The 18175-nt window shown below is 45.6% G+C and overlaps 1 protein-coding gene across 1 annotated transcript in view, besides 1 other annotated feature; it reads left to right on the forward strand.

The window, feature by feature from the left end:
* The window catches only part of KLB (klotho beta), a 44604-nt gene that overhangs the window by 22648 nt on the left and 3781 nt on the right, over positions 1 to 18175 (forward strand). The window contains exons 2-4 of the mRNA NM_175737.4: positions 4633 to 5143; positions 8150 to 8418; positions 16755 to 17898. Coding sequence (NP_783864.1) covers positions 4633 to 5143; positions 8150 to 8418; positions 16755 to 17898 — 1924 coding nt within the window. The remainder of the gene's footprint in view (positions 1 to 4632; positions 5144 to 8149; positions 8419 to 16754; positions 17899 to 18175) is intronic.
* Positions 17552 to 17741: an enhancer, noted in NCBI's record as "active region_21458". NCBI's record gives its function as "activates an Ori minimal core promoter by ATAC-STARR-seq in GM12878 lymphoblastoid cells {active_cell/tissue: GM12878}" and the evidence as "EXISTENCE:reporter gene assay evidence [ECO:0000049][PMID:35858748]".

Here is an 18175-nt window from a genome sequence, read left to right on the forward strand (position 1 = left end):
AAAGAACAAAGGTTGAAGCTCCCTTAAATCAATCATTACAGAGGTAGATGGCTTTGTACAAATTAGAGGGTGACCTTGGAAAAGTGTAGAATGGCTGTTGTGCAAGGTTGCAGGGCCCAGGTTGCACTCCCCTACTAACCTCATTTTAATTTTCCCAACAGATCTCCTTTATGAGTGCCCAACCAAAGAACACACATAGATGGATATGGCAAACTCACGATCTTGGAGCAAAATTTTTTACCTTGTTACTTGGCAAATAGGATCAAGTTATAACCAAAAGTACTGCACAGAGGACCTCCCCCACATTCTCTACATGAGAATGAAGAGGCTGTCTTCAGCCCAGAGCAAAGATAACCCTAGATACCTTGATAGCCTAGGCAAATAGCAGCAAAGGTGAAAGAGACACTGTGGAACGTGAAGGTCACCTTGACAACACATCCATATGTATATCCAGAAAACCTGCATGGAAAGCTACTGCAAAGATATGTCTTCTGAGCTCTACTGTTTCTCATTCAAAGGCTGATGTAACCAAGATTTTTATCACGACTTAGGTCATCTTTCATATAATCACTGAAATTTAGTGTCTGCAAAAGCAAGACATTAAATTTGCAAAGCAACAAGTTTAAGGCTCACAATCCAGGCTACACGGGCTCAGTGCTTTCCAGTTTGCATAGAGAGGTGCACAATAGGCCTGAAGGGAGGTGCTGATCACTGGGTCTTCCATGAATGATAGCTCTAAGGCTACCAAGGGATTAAGTGACTGGTTAGAAAAAAACAAAGAATTCCCTCCTTTGAATCCTAGTAATTTATGACTGCTTTTGTTTCTAATTAGAAAAAAAAAAAAGCGGTTCTCAAGAATTTCTGTCGTGATTCTAGCCCCAGAAAAACCCGGAAAGAATAGCTGAAACCATTTAAGGTAGTGTCTGTCCCAGGCCCCTCTGATTCTTCCAGAAGTTGCAATCTCAGGTTGGAGACAAGGAAAGAGGCTACATTCTGAATACTTCTCTGAGAGGAAATTTTTTTTTTTTTTTTTTTTTTTTTGAGACAGAGTCTTGCTCTGTCACCCAGGCTGGAGTACAGCGACTCAATCTAGGCTCGCTGCAACCTCCGCCTCCTGGGTTCAAGTGATTCTCCTGGCTCAGGCTCCTGAGTAGCTGGGACTACAGGCGCATGCCACCAAGTCCAGCTAATTTTTATATTTTTTTTTAGTAGAGAAGAGGTTTCACCATGTTGGCCAAGCTGGTCTCAAATCAAACTCCTGACCTCAAGTGATCTGCCCACCTCAGCCTCCCAAAGAGCTGAGATTACAGGCATGAGCCACTGCTCCCGGTTGGAAAGTTTTTTTTTTTTTTCCCCTGAGTCAGGGTGTCACTCTGTCCCCCAGGCTGGAGTGCAGAGGTGCCATCTCAGCTCACTGCAACCTCCGCCTCCCTGGCTCAAATGATCTTCCAACCTCAGCTTCCTGAGTAGCTGGGACTACAGGCACGTATCACCATGCCTGGCTAATTTTTGTATTTTTTTTTTTTTTTTTTTGTAGATACGGGGTTTCGTCATGTTGACCAGGCTGATCTCGAATTCCTGAGCTCAAGCAATCTTCCCACCTTGGCCTCCCAAAGTGTTGGGATTACAGATGTGAGCCACCCACCCAACCACCAACCAAGAGGAAAGCATTCCTTTTTTTTTGAAACGGAGTTTCACTCTTGTTGCCTAGGCTGGAGTGCAATGTCACGATCTCAGCTCACTGCATCACTGCAACCTCCGCCTCCTGGGTTCAAGCGATTCTCCTGCCTCGGCCTTCCGAGTAGCTGGGATTATAGGCATGCGCCACCACGACCGGCTAATTTTGTATTTTTAGTAGAGATGGGGTTTCTCCATGTTGATCAGGCTGGTCTGGAACTCCCGACCTCAGGTGATCCGCCCGCCTCGGCCTCCCAAAGTGCTGGGATTACAGGCATGAGCCACCATGCCCGGCCCGAGGAAAGCATTCTTAAGGATCCTTGGGAATACCTGGGTGCTAAATGGTACCAGAATCTTCCAATGAAAATTGAGTAAGGACAAGTGGACAGAGGTATACCTCAAGGAATTTATTTCTCCAGAAAATCTTCCAGGAATTTATTTAAATTGTTTTTTCTTGCATAAAGCAGGATGGCACGTTTCAGAATCCTCACCCCTTACCTCAATGCCTACTTTCCCCATCTAACAGGGTTTATGGAATATTTTCAGGGTCCACAGGATCGATCTGGTTTGAATCCATTGTTCATATCTGCTTGTCTTTGACCTACGTAAAAGGCAGTTTCAGATAGTTTATTCTGATATAAAATATCTCCAGTGAGCAAAAGAAAAGCTAAGGAACAAAACTGAAAGCAGGCTCTGTGTGCTAAAGATAATGAGTCTGTGCATTTGTTTTAGAAACACACAAATAGTGGGGGCCGGGTGCAGTGGCTCACGCCTGTAATCCCAGCACTTTGGGAGGCCGAGGTGTGTGGATCACCTGAGGTCAGGAGTTCGAGACCAGCCTGGCCAACATGGTGGAGCCCCACCTCTACTAAAAATACAAAAATTAACTGGGCATGGTGGTGCTCACCTGTAGTCTCAACTACTAGGGAGGCTGAGGTGGGACGATCACTTGAACCTGAGAGGTGGAGGTTGAGTGAGCTGAGATGGCACCACTGCATTCCAGCCTGGGTGACAGAGCAAGACTCTGTCTCAAAGAAAAAAAAAACAACTCAAATAATGGAGAAAATGAGAGACCAGGGAAGAGATGTCAAGAAACAAGCAAGTCAAATGCTGAGGGGAAGAGAGTGGTTCTGACACAGATGAAGGACAATTCCACAGCTAACTGGGACACAGAAGTGGCCTTGGCATTTAAGTGGCATGGAGTCCTTAATGTTTGCTCCTTCAGCTGTGGCTGTGACTGTTAACTCAGCCATGGCTTCTGGCTTTTAATTTTTTTTTAATTTAATGCCATATTTTATGCCATTTTATGTTTCTCTTTCACATGCTGCATCCTTATTTTCCTGATAAGAAACTTTCTGAGGGTAAGTTCCTGTGCCATCTATCTCAGTCTCTCAGCCCAGGGCAAGCCAGGCATGGAAGTAAGTGCTCAGGAAGTATCTATCATATTAAATGGACCAGAAACCCATCACGAGGCTGTGTTGTAAGAGAGCTCAACTGGAAATGCAAACTCCAGGAGGACCAATAATAATAACATCCACCTTTTGGCAGTACCTCCTACGTGCTCTATTCTGTGCTACATATTTCATGCATATATTAGCTCTAAACCAGACAACAACCTTATAGGGGATTTTTTTTTTTTTTGAGACAGAGTTTTGTTCTTGTCACCCAGGCTGGAGTGCGGTGGCACCATCTCTGCTCACTGCAACCTCTGCCTTCCCGGGTTCAAGCGATTATCCTGCCTCAGCCTCCCAAGTAGCTGGGATTACAGGTGCCTGCCACCATGCCCAACTAAGTTTTGTATTTTTAGTAGAGACGGTGTTTCACCACGTTGGCCAGGCCGGTCTCAAACTCCTGACCTCAGGTGATCCGCCTACCTCGGCCTTTCAAAATGCTGGGATTATAGGCATGAGCCACCCCGCCTGGTGGATATTGTTGTTATTAACCTCATTCTACAACTGAGGATACTAAGAGATTTCAGAAAGGTTAAGTGACTTGCCTAAGGTTACACAATGAGTACGTGAACTTCAAGCCTAGGTGTGCTGACCCCAAAGCTTACACTCTTTCCATTGGTCTTCTGCTGTGGGCAGTGCCGACCACCCTTTAATAATCATAGCAATAATAGCTAAGGCTTATATAGAGCTTACTCTGTGCTAGGCATGATTCTAAAGCAATTTACGCAGATTAACTCACTCAATTCTCACAACATCCCTAGGAGGTGGGCTCTATTATTACTCATTTATAGGATTCAGGGCCTGTGTTGTCCTGGACTTCTAAATTAGGACCAAAGGGAGATTCTGTAGAATGGTGAAAGATCACTGCTCTGGGCCAGGCGCGATAGCTCATGCCTGTAATCCCAACACTTTGGGAGGCCGAGGAGGGTGGATTACCTGAGGTCAGGAGTTCCAGACCAGCCTGACCAATATGGTGAAACCCTGTCTCTACTGAAAATACAAAAATTAGTCGAGCGTCGTGGTGTGCACCTGTAATCCCAGCTACTCGGGAAGCTGAGACAGGAGAATTGCTTGAACCTGGGAGGCGGAGGTTGCAGTGAGCTGAGATCGCACCACTACACTCCAGCCTAGGCGACAGAGAAAGACTCTGTCTCAAAATAAAATAAAAATAAAAAATAAAAAATCACTGCTATGTATCTTCTTATGTAGAGGAGGAAACCCTACACACTACCCCAAGAGGGCCCAGGAAGGGAGCCAGGCAGAGGGGAAATAAGAGCCTAGACTAGGCTTTCTGCCAGCCTCCAGCTCTCCTGTAGCAGAAGTTTTAGGTTGGAAGCACTAGGGGCATAGAGAACAGACTTTGAGGTCATCAGGGCTCCCTGGCAGCTTTCCCCTGAATCACTGTACGCTGCATTAATTTTATCCATGAAAAGGCCATTTACCAGCCATGTTACAGCCCTTGTAAGTGAGGACAACAAAGATCAATAATATTTTCTTCTTTTAGGCTCACTCGAAAGTTTGGCATAACTACAACACACATTTCCGCCCACATCAGAAGGGTTGGTTATCGATCACGTTGGGATCTCATTGGATCGAGCCAAACCGGTCGGAAAACACGATGGATATATTCAAATGTCAACAATCCATGGTTTCTGTGCTTGGATGGTTTGCCAACCCTATCCATGGGGATGGCGACTATCCAGAGGGGATGAGAAAGAAGTTGTTCTCCGTTCTACCCATTTTCTCTGAAGCAGAGAAGCATGAGATGAGAGGCACAGCTGATTTCTTTGCCTTTTCTTTTGGACCCAACAACTTCAAGCCCCTAAACACCATGGCTAAAATGGGACAAAATGTTTCACTTAATTTAAGAGAAGCGCTGAACTGGATTAAACTGGAATACAACAACCCTCGAATCTTGATTGCTGAGAATGGCTGGTTCACAGACAGTCGTGTGAAAACAGAAGACACCACGGCCATCTACATGATGAAGAATTTCCTCAGCCAGGTGCTTCAAGGTTGGTTGTACACTTGCTTAATTTTTTAAAAATTCTAAAAACTTACAGGATATTTAAAGTCACCTTTGAATATGTAACTATTATTGTTGGGCTTTTTTTTTTTTGAAACGGAGTTTCTCGCTGTCTCCCAGGCTGAAGTGCAGTGGCACCATCTTGGCTCACTGCAACCTCCGCCTCCTGGGTTCAAGTGATTCTCCTGCCTCAGCCTCCCAAGTAGCTGGGATTACAGGTGTCCACCACCACGCCCAGCTAATTTTTGTATTTTTAGTAGAGACAGGGTCTCACCATGTTGGCCAGGCTGATCTCAAACTCCTGACCTTAAGTGATCCGCCCGCCTCAGCCTCCCAAAGTGCTGGGATTACAGGCATGAGCCACCATGCCCGGCCTGGCCTTTTGTATTGTCCAATATTTTTTTTTTAAATGGAGCCACTCTGTGGCCCAGGCTGGAGTGCAACAGTGCAATCTTGGCTCACTGCAACCTCTGCCTCCTGGGTTCAAGCAATTCTCCTGCTTCAGCCTCCTGAGTAGCTGGGATTACAGGTGCATGCCACCACACCCAGCTAATTTTTTATATTTTGGTAGAGATGGAGTTACATCATGTTGGCCAGGCTGGTCTCGAGCTCCTGACCTCAAGTGATCCACTCGCCTCGGCCTCCCAAAGCCCTGGGATTACAGGCATGAGCCACCGCACCCAGCCTGAAATTTTTTTTTCTTTACTTTTTGAAACGGAGTTTCACTCTTGTTTCCCAGGCTGGAATGCAGTGGTGCAATCTCAGCTCACTGCAACCTCCACCTCCCAGGTTCAAGCAATTCTTCTGCTTCAGCCTCCCGAGTAGCTGGGATTACAGGTGTCTGCCACCACGCCCAGCTAAGTTTTGTATTTTTAGTAGAGACGGGGGTTCAACATGTTGACCAGGTTGGTCTCGAACTCCTGACCTCAGGTGATCCACCTGCCTCAGCCTCCCAAAGTGCCAGGATTACAGGCATGAGCCACCACACCCAGCCATTGTATTGTCCAATGTTGACAGCACTTTTTTATGTTATTCCCATGTCCTTTTTAAAATAAAAGTTTGAGAACAGAATCCTTTCAGACTAGGGCTACACCCTTAATTGGCAAGAAGATGCTGTTTCATTCCTTATAAAGGACACAGTGCTAAAAGAGGTATGCTTAAAGTTTCCTAACAGTAGTACTTTATTCCAAGATGTTGAAAGTTTTTCTGGAAATTGTGATCTTTATACTCTATTACATGACGGCATGATGAAAAGGTCTGAAGACAAAATGAGTTGTTTCTATTGCTCCCAGAGACTTTTGGCCCCCACTTAGCCCCTCACTCCTTCTCTATTACTCAAGTAGTGACATCTACAGGTGGCTGATAGAAACAACGGAGCAGAAGACAAGCTGAGGTTACGATGGTTCTGTTCCCTGGAGTTGGGCTCTATTTCACTCTCATATTAAGGAATTCTCCATGGATCTTTCTAAAATTCTGTTGCTCTCTTTAGAAGTCACAAGCCAGGAAGAAAATCCCAGGTGCTGCTGGAGAGAGCCTTCAGGGAGGGTCCTGAGGGAGAGCAAGACCCTGCCGCCCCAAGTTGCAGGAAGGAACAGCATGGAACCGAGCCACGCCCAGCTACGGGCCATGCACATAGGGGCCAAGGCTGAGGGTTCTGCCTACAGGGTCTGGGTCAAATGCCATGCTCTTGGGCAGAAAGGGTGTCCATTCCCCAGGTGTTACCATTCCACCTCTCCTTAGGACCCTACAACAGCTATAGGCTAGAACCAGAGCCTGTTAAACATATTTATCTTCTTGGAAACTCTTGGCTTGGACTTTCCTCATTTTAGGAAAAGAATGTCAGTGACAAAAATCCCCAAAATGCAGAGATGAGGAGGCATTTCTATGAGAGAAGTGAAATCTTTTAAGAAAGAAAAAAGGATTCAGGGCTAATTTGGGTATTTGTTGTTTGGACTGCTGTTGATTTTCTTTTCTCTTTTTTGTTTTTTTTTCCCTGAGATGGAGTTTTGCTCTTGTTACCCAGGCTGGAGTGCAATGGTACAATCTTGGCTCACTGCAATCTCCACCTCCTGTGTTCAAGCGATTCTCCTGCCTCAGCCTCCCGAGTAGCTGGGATTACAGATGCCCGCCACCATCCCCAGCTAATTTTTGTATTTTTAGTAGAGACAAGGCTTCACTATGTTGCCCAGGCTGGTCTCGAACTCCTGACCTCAGGTGATCCACCCACCTCAGCCTCCCAAAGTGCTGGGATTACAGGCATGAGCCACTGCGCCCCGCCTGTTGATTTTCATATTTCATTTTTACACAATTCCTACAAGTTACTGAATCAGAGTTTTAAAGCTAGAAAGGTCCTTAGAGATCCTATTTTCCAATCTTTTTTGTTTAAAAATGAGGAAACCGAGGCCAAGAAATTTGCCCAATAGCATGCTCCCTGGAGCATAGCAGGGTAAGCTCCTCAGCCCCCTGCTCTTTAGCCCAGCCAGTTCCCATTCTCTTACATCACTTTTCTTCTTTTACCTCCTTATGTCTACATTCATTTATGTTAATTCTAAAAGCAGCTTTTTTTTTAACTCCTTGAAGGATAGTTTCCTAGAATTAATAGCTTATCCACGAATAAGAACCAACTCAAACTTGAAATAAGAAACTCTTGGTCATGAGCACACATATGCATTTGTCCCAAAGAGTTCTGGAAATTACCATGCCCTCTGACACAGATTTGCACACCAAGTCTCAGGAGTATTTAAGGTGTGATCCTTTAACTGTGACATACACTTGTTCCAAGTGGGAGTGGGGGGATCAGGAGATACCAATCTGGATGATAGTAATTGCCACTTTTGAAGTATAAACATGAATTTTCTATTTGATACAGCAGACCTGAAAATTAGGGCAAAGGTTCGTTTTACAATATGCTGTCCTCTGGCATGTTAGTGAAATTGTAAACATGAACTAGAATGTTTAGGCCTCTGAACATCTCTGCTTTCTTTTCTCTGTGCAGCAATAAGGTTAGATGAAATACGAGTGTTTGGTTATACTGCCTGGTCTCTCCTGGATGGCTTTGAATGGCAGGATGCTTACACCATCCGCCGAGGATTATTTTATGTGGATTTTAACAGTAAACAGAAAGAGCGGAAACCTAAGTCTTCAGCACACTACTACAAACAGATCATACGAGAAAATGGTTTTTCTTTAAAAGAGTCCACGCCAGATGTGCAGGGCCAGTTTCCCTGTGACTTCTCCTGGGGTGTCACTGAATCTGTTCTTAAGGTAAGTGGTTACTTCCAAATTAACCATAAACTGGGAAAAACAGTACACACTATTTCATTTACTCAATGACAGCTAAGAGATAGCTGTCAGACAATATCAAATACCACAATTGTATGGAGGTTATGAAGGAGAGCTAGGGAAAGAGAAGGGAGAAAAAGAAGGAAATAAATGCTGAGAGCCTTTCATGGGCCAGAACTCATAATTGGTGATGGAGATGGAGAGGTGAAGAGGCTGCCCTCAAGGAGCATACAGTCTAGAGGGAACTTACTGTCATTTCTGTGTCAGGTTTTTGTTATAATAGTAATGTCAAAATGATAGGAAATTTGTTTTCAGATTTTTGTTTTGCCAAAAGCAAATTATTAGCAGCACCTTGTTTAACTGATTCTTGCTGTTTCACAGAGTTGGGTAATTTGCCTTCTGAGGTCTCTATATCCCAGTGGAGCCTCCTCACACATCTCATTCCTCACCCCCTTAAGCTGTCCTCAAAAGTCACCTTCTCCATAAGGCTTCCCTCCACTCCAGAAACCATCCTCCTATCACTTCTCTTCCTCTTTTCCTGCTTTTCTATAGCGTACTCGCCACCACCTGACATACTATGTGCTTTCCACATTTTCCATACTTATCACCTGTCTTCCCCTACTAGAATGCAAGCTGCATAAGAGCAAAAATGTCTGAGGCTTTGATGCCTGCTATATACCTCACTAGGGCAGTGCTGGGCACATGGCAGGTGCTTATCTTTTAGAACCAGGTGAATGAATGAGCTCACCTTTTAGTTGTTATTATTATTATTATTTTAACTATGCTACCTGGAAATCAAGAAATCACCTTTTAGAGCCAGGTGAGACCTTAGAGACCTCCCATTCCAAATCCTTCATTTTACGGGGGGAGGAAAGTGAGACCTATCAACTTGCTAACAAGTGCTGGCAGAACTGTTAACATACTGTCTTCAAGCTTCCACATGCACAGTGATTTAACTGCTCTATGTATGCACATTCTCTCTACTTCATCTTTTTTTTTTTTTTTTTGAGACAGGATCTTGCTCTGTCACCCAGACTGGAGTGCAGTGGCACAATCACAGCTCACTGTAGCCTCAATCTCCTGGCCTCAAGTGATCGTCCCACCTCAAACTTGAACTGGCACTACAGGTTCACACCACTATGCCCAGCTAATTTTTTGATTTTTTTGTACAGACAGAGTCTTACTATGTTGCCCAGACTGGTCTGGAGCTCCTGGGCTCAAACACACATCCTTCCTCAGCCTCCCAAAGTACTGGGGTTGCAGGTGCAAGCCACTGCATCCAACCTACTTAATCTTAAAACCCTCATCTTACAGGCAAGGCAACTGAAGTTTAAGGGGGTTACATAACTTGCCCAAGTTACCTAGGTCTGTCTTCCAACCACTATGCTTTAAGACTTCACAATACCACACCACAATATTGCATTGTTTTTTGTTGCTGTTGTTTTTGTTTTTGTTTTTGTTTTTGTTTTTGAGACAGAGTCTCGCTCTGTTGCCCAGGCTGGAGTGCAGCGGTGCGATTTTGGCTCATTGTAACCTCTGCCTCCCCAGTTCAAACGATTCTCCTGCCTCCCTAGTTCAAACGATTCTCCTGCCTCAGCCTCCCAAGTAGCTGGGATTACAGGCACCCGCCACCATGCCTGGCAAATTTTTCTTTTTTTTTTTTGGAGACGGAGCTTTATTCTTGTTGCTCATCGCCCAGGCTGGAGTGCAATGGTGCAATCTTGGCTCACTGCAACCTTCGCCTCCTGGGTTCAAGCAATTGTCCTGTCTCAGCCTCTCAAGTAGCTGGGACTACAGGCGTGTGCCACCACTCCTGGCTAATTTTTGTATCATTAGTAGAGACGGGGTTTCACCATGTTGGCCAAACTGGCTTCGAAATCCTGACCTCAGGTTATCCACCCACCCCGGCCTCCCAAAGTGCTGGGATTACAGGCATGAGCCACCACGCCCAGCCAAATTTTTGTATTTTTAGTAGAAACAGGGTTTCACCAAGTTGGCCAGGCTGGTCTTGAGCTCCTGACCTCAGGTGATCGACCCGCCTCGGCCTCCCAAAGTGCTGGGATTACAGGTGTGAGCCACCATGCCCGCTTTTTGTTTTGTTTTCTTTTCTTCTTTTCTTTTTTCTCTTCTCTTCTTTTCTTTTCTTTTTTGAGACAGAGTCTTACTGTGTTGCCCAGGCTGGTGTGCAGTGAGTGATCTCAGCTCACTGCAACCTCTGCCTCCTGGATTCAAGCAATTCTCCTGCCTCAGCCTCCCAAGTAGCTGGGATTACAGGTGCCCGCCACCACGCCCAGCTAATTTTTGTATTTTTAGTAGAGATGGGGTTTCACTTTGTTGACCAGGCTGGTCTTGAATGTCTTGACCTCAAGTGATCTGCCTGCCTCAGTCTCCCAAAGTGCTGGGATTACAGGTGTGAGCCACCATGCCCAGACATGCCTGTATTCTATTAATAGAAGCATATGGAAAGACAAGATGTACAAGGATTGAGACCAGACAAAAGGGTTCAAACCATGAATTAGCAAAGTTCTCAGGTTATGAATCTCAACCCCTGTGGATATTTACTTATATTTATATAGTTATTTATTTTTGAGACAGAGTTTTGCTTTGTTGCCTGGCTCACTGCAACCTCCGCCTCCCGTGTTCGTGCAATTCTCCTGTCTCAGCCTCCTGAGTAGCTGGGATTACAGGCGCCTGCCACCCTGCCCAGCTGATTTTTTGTATTTTAGTAGGGACAGGGCTTCACCATGTTGCCCAGGCTGGTCTCAAACTCCTGAGCTTAGGCAATCTGCCTGTCTCGGCCTCCCAAAGTGCTAGGATTACAGGTGTTAGCCACCGTGCCCAGCTGTGAATATTTATTTATTTGAAATAGAGTCTCACTTTGTCTTCCAGGCTGGAGTGCAGTGGCGTGATCTCAGCTCACTGCAGTCTGCCTCCTGAATTCAAGCAATTCTCCTGCCTCTGCCTCCAAAGTAGCTGGGATTACAGGTGCCTGTCACCATGCCCAGCTAATTTTTGTATTTTTAGTAGAGATGGGGTTTCACTATGTTGGCCAGACTGGTCTCGAACTCTTGGCCTCAAGCAATCTGTCTGCCTTAGACTCCCAAAGTGCTGGGATTACAGGTGTGAGGCACTGCACCCAGCTCCCTGTGGATATTTAAACAAGACTTTAGCAAGAGCTCACGGTGATTAAAGGGGGAAAGTTATAGAGAGCAGAATAAACAGTGTCTCATCTTCAGCTTGTGTCCCCTCCAGAGCCAGTTCCTACCTCTTCCTTCACATGGCAGAGGCAGAAGAGTTCAATACTATTCATATTCAAATTTTGCTAAATGCTCCAAAAATGTCTTTTTCCCTATCACTTTAATTGGGTTTATATATTTCAAAATTCCAGACCTAGCAAAGACCCCAGGAGATATAAGAGTTTCTTTGCCTGCCTGTATGGGAGACCCAACCTACAAGATCCTGCTTCAGCTAAAACCCACCTGTTCCTCAGATACTGTGAATGTCTGCCCCTTCTACATTTCAGAGCAAGAATTGATCATGAGGTCAGGAAAAGCAGTTCTGTGATCTGTCAGGTCTGGGTTTCATACTCATCTCTGGAGCCCAGCAAAGAGCCAGATTCATTTGAACCACTTGGATTAAGAATGAGGATAAGGCTGATCTGAGTGTGGTGGTGTTTACAACTTGCTGGTTACAACCAGTTACAGATTTCTGTTCCTTCTCTACTCCCACTGCTTCATTTGGCTAGCCCAAACATAAATAAATAAATAAATAAATAAATAAATAAATAAATAAATAAAGATGAATGGTTTGCCAAGAAAAATTACGGTGCTTTTTGAAAAATCAGCCAATAAATATATGTATAGACACTGTGTACACAGAAAACTAGATGTCCTCTATAGGGAGACTGATAAAATTAAAGTAATACTTGAAAAATATTACTAAGCCAGACCGGGCATGGTGACTAACTCCTGTAATCCCAGCACTTTGGGAGGCCAAGGTGGGAGGATCACTTGAGCTCAGGAGTTTGAGACCAGCCTGGCCATTATGGCAAAACCCTGTCTCTACAAAAAAAACTGGGTGTGGTTGTGTGGGCCTGTAATTCCATCTATAATTCCATCTACTCAGGAGGCTGAGGCAGGAGAATCGCTTGAGCCCGGGAGGAAGGTTGCAGTGAGCTGTGATCGTGCCACAGCACTCCAGCCTGGGCAACAGAGCAAGACCCTGTCTCAAAAAAAAAAAAAATTACTAAGCCTAACTTTGCACATTTCTATCTTATTTTCCCTAGCCTCTTAGCATTCTTTACTCCTCTAACATTTTATTTTGAAAAATTTCAAACATACAATAGAAATGCATATTCCCTTCATCAAGACTGACTGACTGTTAACATGCTGCCATATTTGTTTCAACTCTGCCTCTCTCCCCTTTTTTTTTTTTTTTTGAGACAGAGCCTTGCTCTATCACCCAAGCTGGAGTGCAATGGCGCGATCCCAGCTTACTGCAACCTCTGCCTCCCGGGTTCAAGAGATTCCCCTGCCTCAGCCTTCCAAGTAGCTGGGATTACAGGTGCCCCCCACCATGCCCAGCTAATTTTTTGTATTTTTAGTAGAGACGGGGTTTCACTATTTTGGCCAGGCTGCTCTCGAACTCCTGACCTCGTGATCCACCCACCTTGGCCTCCCAAAGTGCTGGGATTACAGGCGTGAACCACTGCACCCGGCCTCTGCCTCTCTGTTTTATAAACTTTTGATAAATTGCGGACATCATTACACTCCACCCCAAAATATCTCAGCATGTATCTCCTAAGAACAGGACATTCTTATTATGATTCCCAGGAAATTTAACACTGATTCAACGCTATCTAAAATACAATCCATATTCAATTTTTTTAATGTTCCAAAAATGTCCTTTATAGATTAAAAAAATCTTTGATTAAGAATGCAAGCAAAGATCAAACGTTGGTTGTCATGTATTGTTAGCTTCCTTTAATTCAGGACAATCACCTCATGGCATTGACGTGTTTGAAGAGTCCAGGCCAACTGCTTGTAGATTTCTCTGGTTGTTCTTCTGAGTCTAATGACTCAGTTAACCATTTCTGGAAATAATACTACATAGATGATGTGCCTTTGTATCATATCAGGAGGTAAATGATGTCAATTTGTTTCATTACTGAAGATATTACTGTGGTTGAAGTAGTATTACCAGATTTCTTGGTTAAGGTGGCATTTGTGGCTAGGCACACTTGTTCACTCCTGTAATCCCAGCACTTTGAGAGGCCGATGTGGGTAGATCACTTGAGCCCAGGTGGTCGAGGATGCAGTCTAGTGTGGGCGACAGGGCAAGACCCTGTCCCTCCTCCCTACTCCCCCCAAAAAAAAGAAAAAAGAAAAAAAAAGGTGATATGTGCCATATGGTAACTTTTCCATTTTTAATTAAGAAGTAATCTGATGCTGGCCAGGCTCGATGGCTCACACCTGTAATCCTAGCACTTTGGGAGGCCGAGGCGGGCGTATCACTTGAGGTCAGGACCTGTCTGGCCTGTCAGGACCAGCCTGGCCAACGTGGCAAAATCCTGTCTCTACAAAAAAAAAAAAAAAAAAATTAGCCAGGCAGGGTGGCATGGGCTTGTAATCCCAGCTACTTGGGAGGCGGAGGCAGAAGAATCACTTGAACCTCAGAGACGGAGGTTGCAGTGAGCCAAGATCGCACCATTGCATTCCAGCCTGGGCAACACAGTGAGACTTTGTCAAAAAAAAAAAAAAAAAAAGAAAAAAGAAGAAATCTGATGTTGATACTTGGGACTCTATGAATATCCTATTCCTCAACAACATTTCACTCCATGGTTTTAACATTCTTTCATGAACCGGGCCGGGCACAGTGGCTCACCTGTAATCCCAGCACTTTGGGAGGCCGAGGTGGGTGGATCACTTGAGGTCAGGAGTTCAAGACCAGCCTGGCCAACATGGTGAAGCCCCGTCTCTAATAAAAATACAAAAACTAGCCAGGCATGGTGGCTGGCATCTGTAATCCCAGCTACTCAGGAGGCTGAGGCAGGAGAATCGCTTGAACCCGGGGGGCGGAGGTTTCAGTGAGCCAAGATCGCGCCATTGCACTCCAGCCTGGGCGACAAGAACAAAACTCCGTCTCAAATAAACAAACAAACAAACAAACAAAACATTCTTTCATGAACCTTGCCTTAATCATTACTTTGTAAATTGCAAAATGGTAAATTTCTAATCGGATTATTCCCTCCACATTTATTAGCTGGATGATGTTTTATAATTCATTATTGTCACTATGATATTGTTCCTTTTGATGCTCAAGTTGTTTCAAATTTAGTCAATGGGACCCCCTCAAGCTGTTTCTGTCTTTTCCACATTTCCCTTTCAGTTTTTAAGCACTTCCTTATTTTCTGGCACAAGATGCCCACCTTCATCTCATTCTTCTCCTGGAAAAAGCCATTTCTCCAAGGAGTACAAGGTCCTTTTGGTGGGGAATAGGATTTTAGAAACAAGCTCTGGGAGCTGGGGTTGGGATTGGGATGCATCATCTTTAACTAGAAAATTAACCTCTTAGCAGACTAATCATACACACTTGCTGAGATTAATGCTTTCTGAAGGTTTTTAACGTAAGACATTTTTATTTGATCTTGCCTTGCCCCATAGCAAGACTGCCTTTTATAAACATCCTTTCAATACCATGATGTTCTGAGTTTTCAAAACATTAAAACTGGCCATCTAGGCTAGGAGGATTTTACTCAAATAATGAATTATATACGGATTTAACTTCATGCTCACATGATCAATGTTCTCTTAGTTTAATGTTCTAGATAACTGGTTGGCAGATGGCAAACGGGCAGTGATATGGTTTTGTAATTAAACTATGAAAGATGACACACGAAAAAACAATTAGAGGGAAGATATTTACCAAAGGTTAATTATAGTTTTTTCCTGGTGTATTTAAATTCTGTCATGAGGGGAAAAAGAAGTACTTTAAAACAAGTACTTAACTTTTACTTTCCCTTATTAATCTTGAATTTGGGAATGTTTTTCTTAAGGGCTTTGTTTTAGTTTGGACTCAAGGGCCTAGCAGGCAATTATTGCCACTAGGGAAAATGAAACCCAAGTCATGACTACATTGTGTTTGTATAGCGCTTTAGAGTTCCCAGAGCACCTTCCCAGAGTCACTGAGTCCTCACAGCACACCTGTGAGGTGGGTGCGATTACTCCGTCACTATATAGTTGCCAAGCCTGAGTTTCAAAGGGGCAGAACTAGAACAGGAGTCCAGGGCTCTCTCCTTCGTGGAGAGACACAGAATGAGACTCTGTCAGATCCAAGTGTCAACCTTGGGAGTTTCTAGGGATAGTCTACTGTCCTTTCCACCCATAACCCATTTATTCATCTGTTGGATGAATAAATGCTATGTTCTCACAGGCACATGGGTCGGGGAGACATGATGGATGCAAATGTGTTATCACTTGAACTTTTCTTTTCTTTTTTTTTTTTTTTTGAGATGGAGTTTTTGCTCTTGTTGCCGAGGCTGGAGTGCAATGGCATGATCTCGGCTCACTGCAACCTTCGCCTCCTGCGTTCAAGCGATTCTCCTGCCTCAGCCTCCAGAGTAGCTGGGATTACAAGCATGCGCCTCCACGCCTGGCTAATCTTGTTTTTTTGTTTTTTTTTTTTTTTTTAGTAGAGACGGTGTTTCTCCATGTTGGTCAGGCTAGTCTCAAACTCCCAACTTCAGGTGATCTGCCCGCCTCAGCCTCCCAAAGTGCTAGGATTACAGGCATGAGCCACCGCGCCCGGCCTGGATTTTTTAAATACAAGTTAGAAATTTGCATTCAGCAAAAGCAAGGGGTCATTGCCTACCCCACCGCACCAGCCTTTTTAAGGAATTGTGCCTGGGGTCAACCTCCTCTTCTCAGTGAAATCTCTACAACAGGAATTTCAACTTTGTCTTCAATTTATGGCAGGGTTTAGAATCTCTTTTGTAATTGCTTTTAATTGAGTGTACCAAGCCAATTTCCTGATGCATTTGAACAGAATCACTTCAAACCCCACCATATATAACCTAGGGTTTAAAGTTAAATGAACTGGAAAATGGCTTCCCAATGTTTTCTCAAACAACTTGTTTTCCAAGCCAGGACCTGGGTGTGGCTCCTTCTCTGTTTTCTGGTCTCCTTGGGAGATTTCAAGGGCTGGAATAGGCCTGGCGTGGTGGCCTGTAATCCCAGCACTTTGGGAGGCAGAGGTAGGCAGATCACTTGAGCCTCCATCTGCCAGCGCATGCTTGACCTAAATGAGCTTGTTTTTCACAGCCCGAGTCTGTGGCTTCGTCCCCACAGTTCAGCGATCCTCATCTGTACGTGTGGAACGCCACTGGCAACAGACTGTTGCACCGAGTGGAAGGGGTGAGGCTGAAAACACGACCCGCTCAATGCACAGATTTTGTAAACATCAAAAAACAACTTGAGATGTTGGCAAGAATGAAAGTCACCCACTACCGGTTTGCTCTGGATTGGGCCTCGGTCCTTCCCACTGGCAACCTGTCCGCGGTGAACCGACAGGCCCTGAGGTACTACAGGTGCGTGGTCAGTGAGGGGCTGAAGCTTGGCATCTCCGCGATGGTCACCCTGTATTATCCGACCCACGCCCACCTAGGCCTCCCCGAGCCTCTGTTGCATGCCGACGGGTGGCTGAACCCATCGACGGCCGAGGCCTTCCAGGCCTACGCTGGGCTGTGCTTCCAGGAGCTGGGGGACCTGGTGAAGCTCTGGATCACCATCAACGAGCCTAACCGGCTAAGTGACATCTACAACCGCTCTGGCAACGACACCTACGGGGCGGCGCACAACCTGCTGGTGGCCCACGCCCTGGCCTGGCGCCTCTACGACCGGCAGTTCAGGCCCTCACAGCGCGGGGCCGTGTCGCTGTCGCTGCACGCGGACTGGGCGGAACCCGCCAACCCCTATGCTGACTCGCACTGGAGGGCGGCCGAGCGCTTCCTGCAGTTCGAGATCGCCTGGTTCGCCGAGCCGCTCTTCAAGACCGGGGACTACCCCGCGGCCATGAGGGAATACATTGCCTCCAAGCACCGACGGGGGCTTTCCAGCTCGGCCCTGCCGCGCCTCACCGAGGCCGAAAGGAGGCTGCTCAAGGGCACGGTCGACTTCTGCGCGCTCAACCACTTCACCACTAGGTTCGTGATGCACGAGCAGCTGGCCGGCAGCCGCTACGACTCGGACAGGGACATCCAGTTTCTGCAGGACATCACCCGCCTGAGCTCCCCCACGCGCCTGGCTGTGATTCCCTGGGGGGTGCGCAAGCTGCTGCGGTGGGTCCGGAGGAACTACGGCGACATGGACATTTACATCACCGCCAGTGGCATCGACGACCAGGCTCTGGAGGATGACCGGCTCCGGAAGTACTACCTAGGGAAGTACCTTCAGGAGGTGCTGAAAGGTAAGGGCGGGGCCCCTTCAGACACAGGGCAGAGCGAGATTCCTGTTACCTGACAAGAACAAAGAATGGGAGCAGCAGGCTGGTGCCTGACAGCATCCAATTTGTGGCACCCAAGTCCTGTCAATTGAATTTTGTCCTGAAAACTGGCCTATGGGATTTTTGAAAAAATTTTAAAATCATAAAAGTAACACACACCAATTATAGAAAACTGGGCACGTGGAGAAGTTTTTAAAAAATCACCTGAAATCTCACTCCCCAGGATAAACAGTCACTATTT

Source organism: Homo sapiens, chromosome 4 (assembly GCF_000001405.40).
Source record: "Homo sapiens chromosome 4, GRCh38.p14 Primary Assembly".
Taxonomy (NCBI): domain Eukaryota; kingdom Metazoa; phylum Chordata; class Mammalia; order Primates; family Hominidae; genus Homo; species Homo sapiens.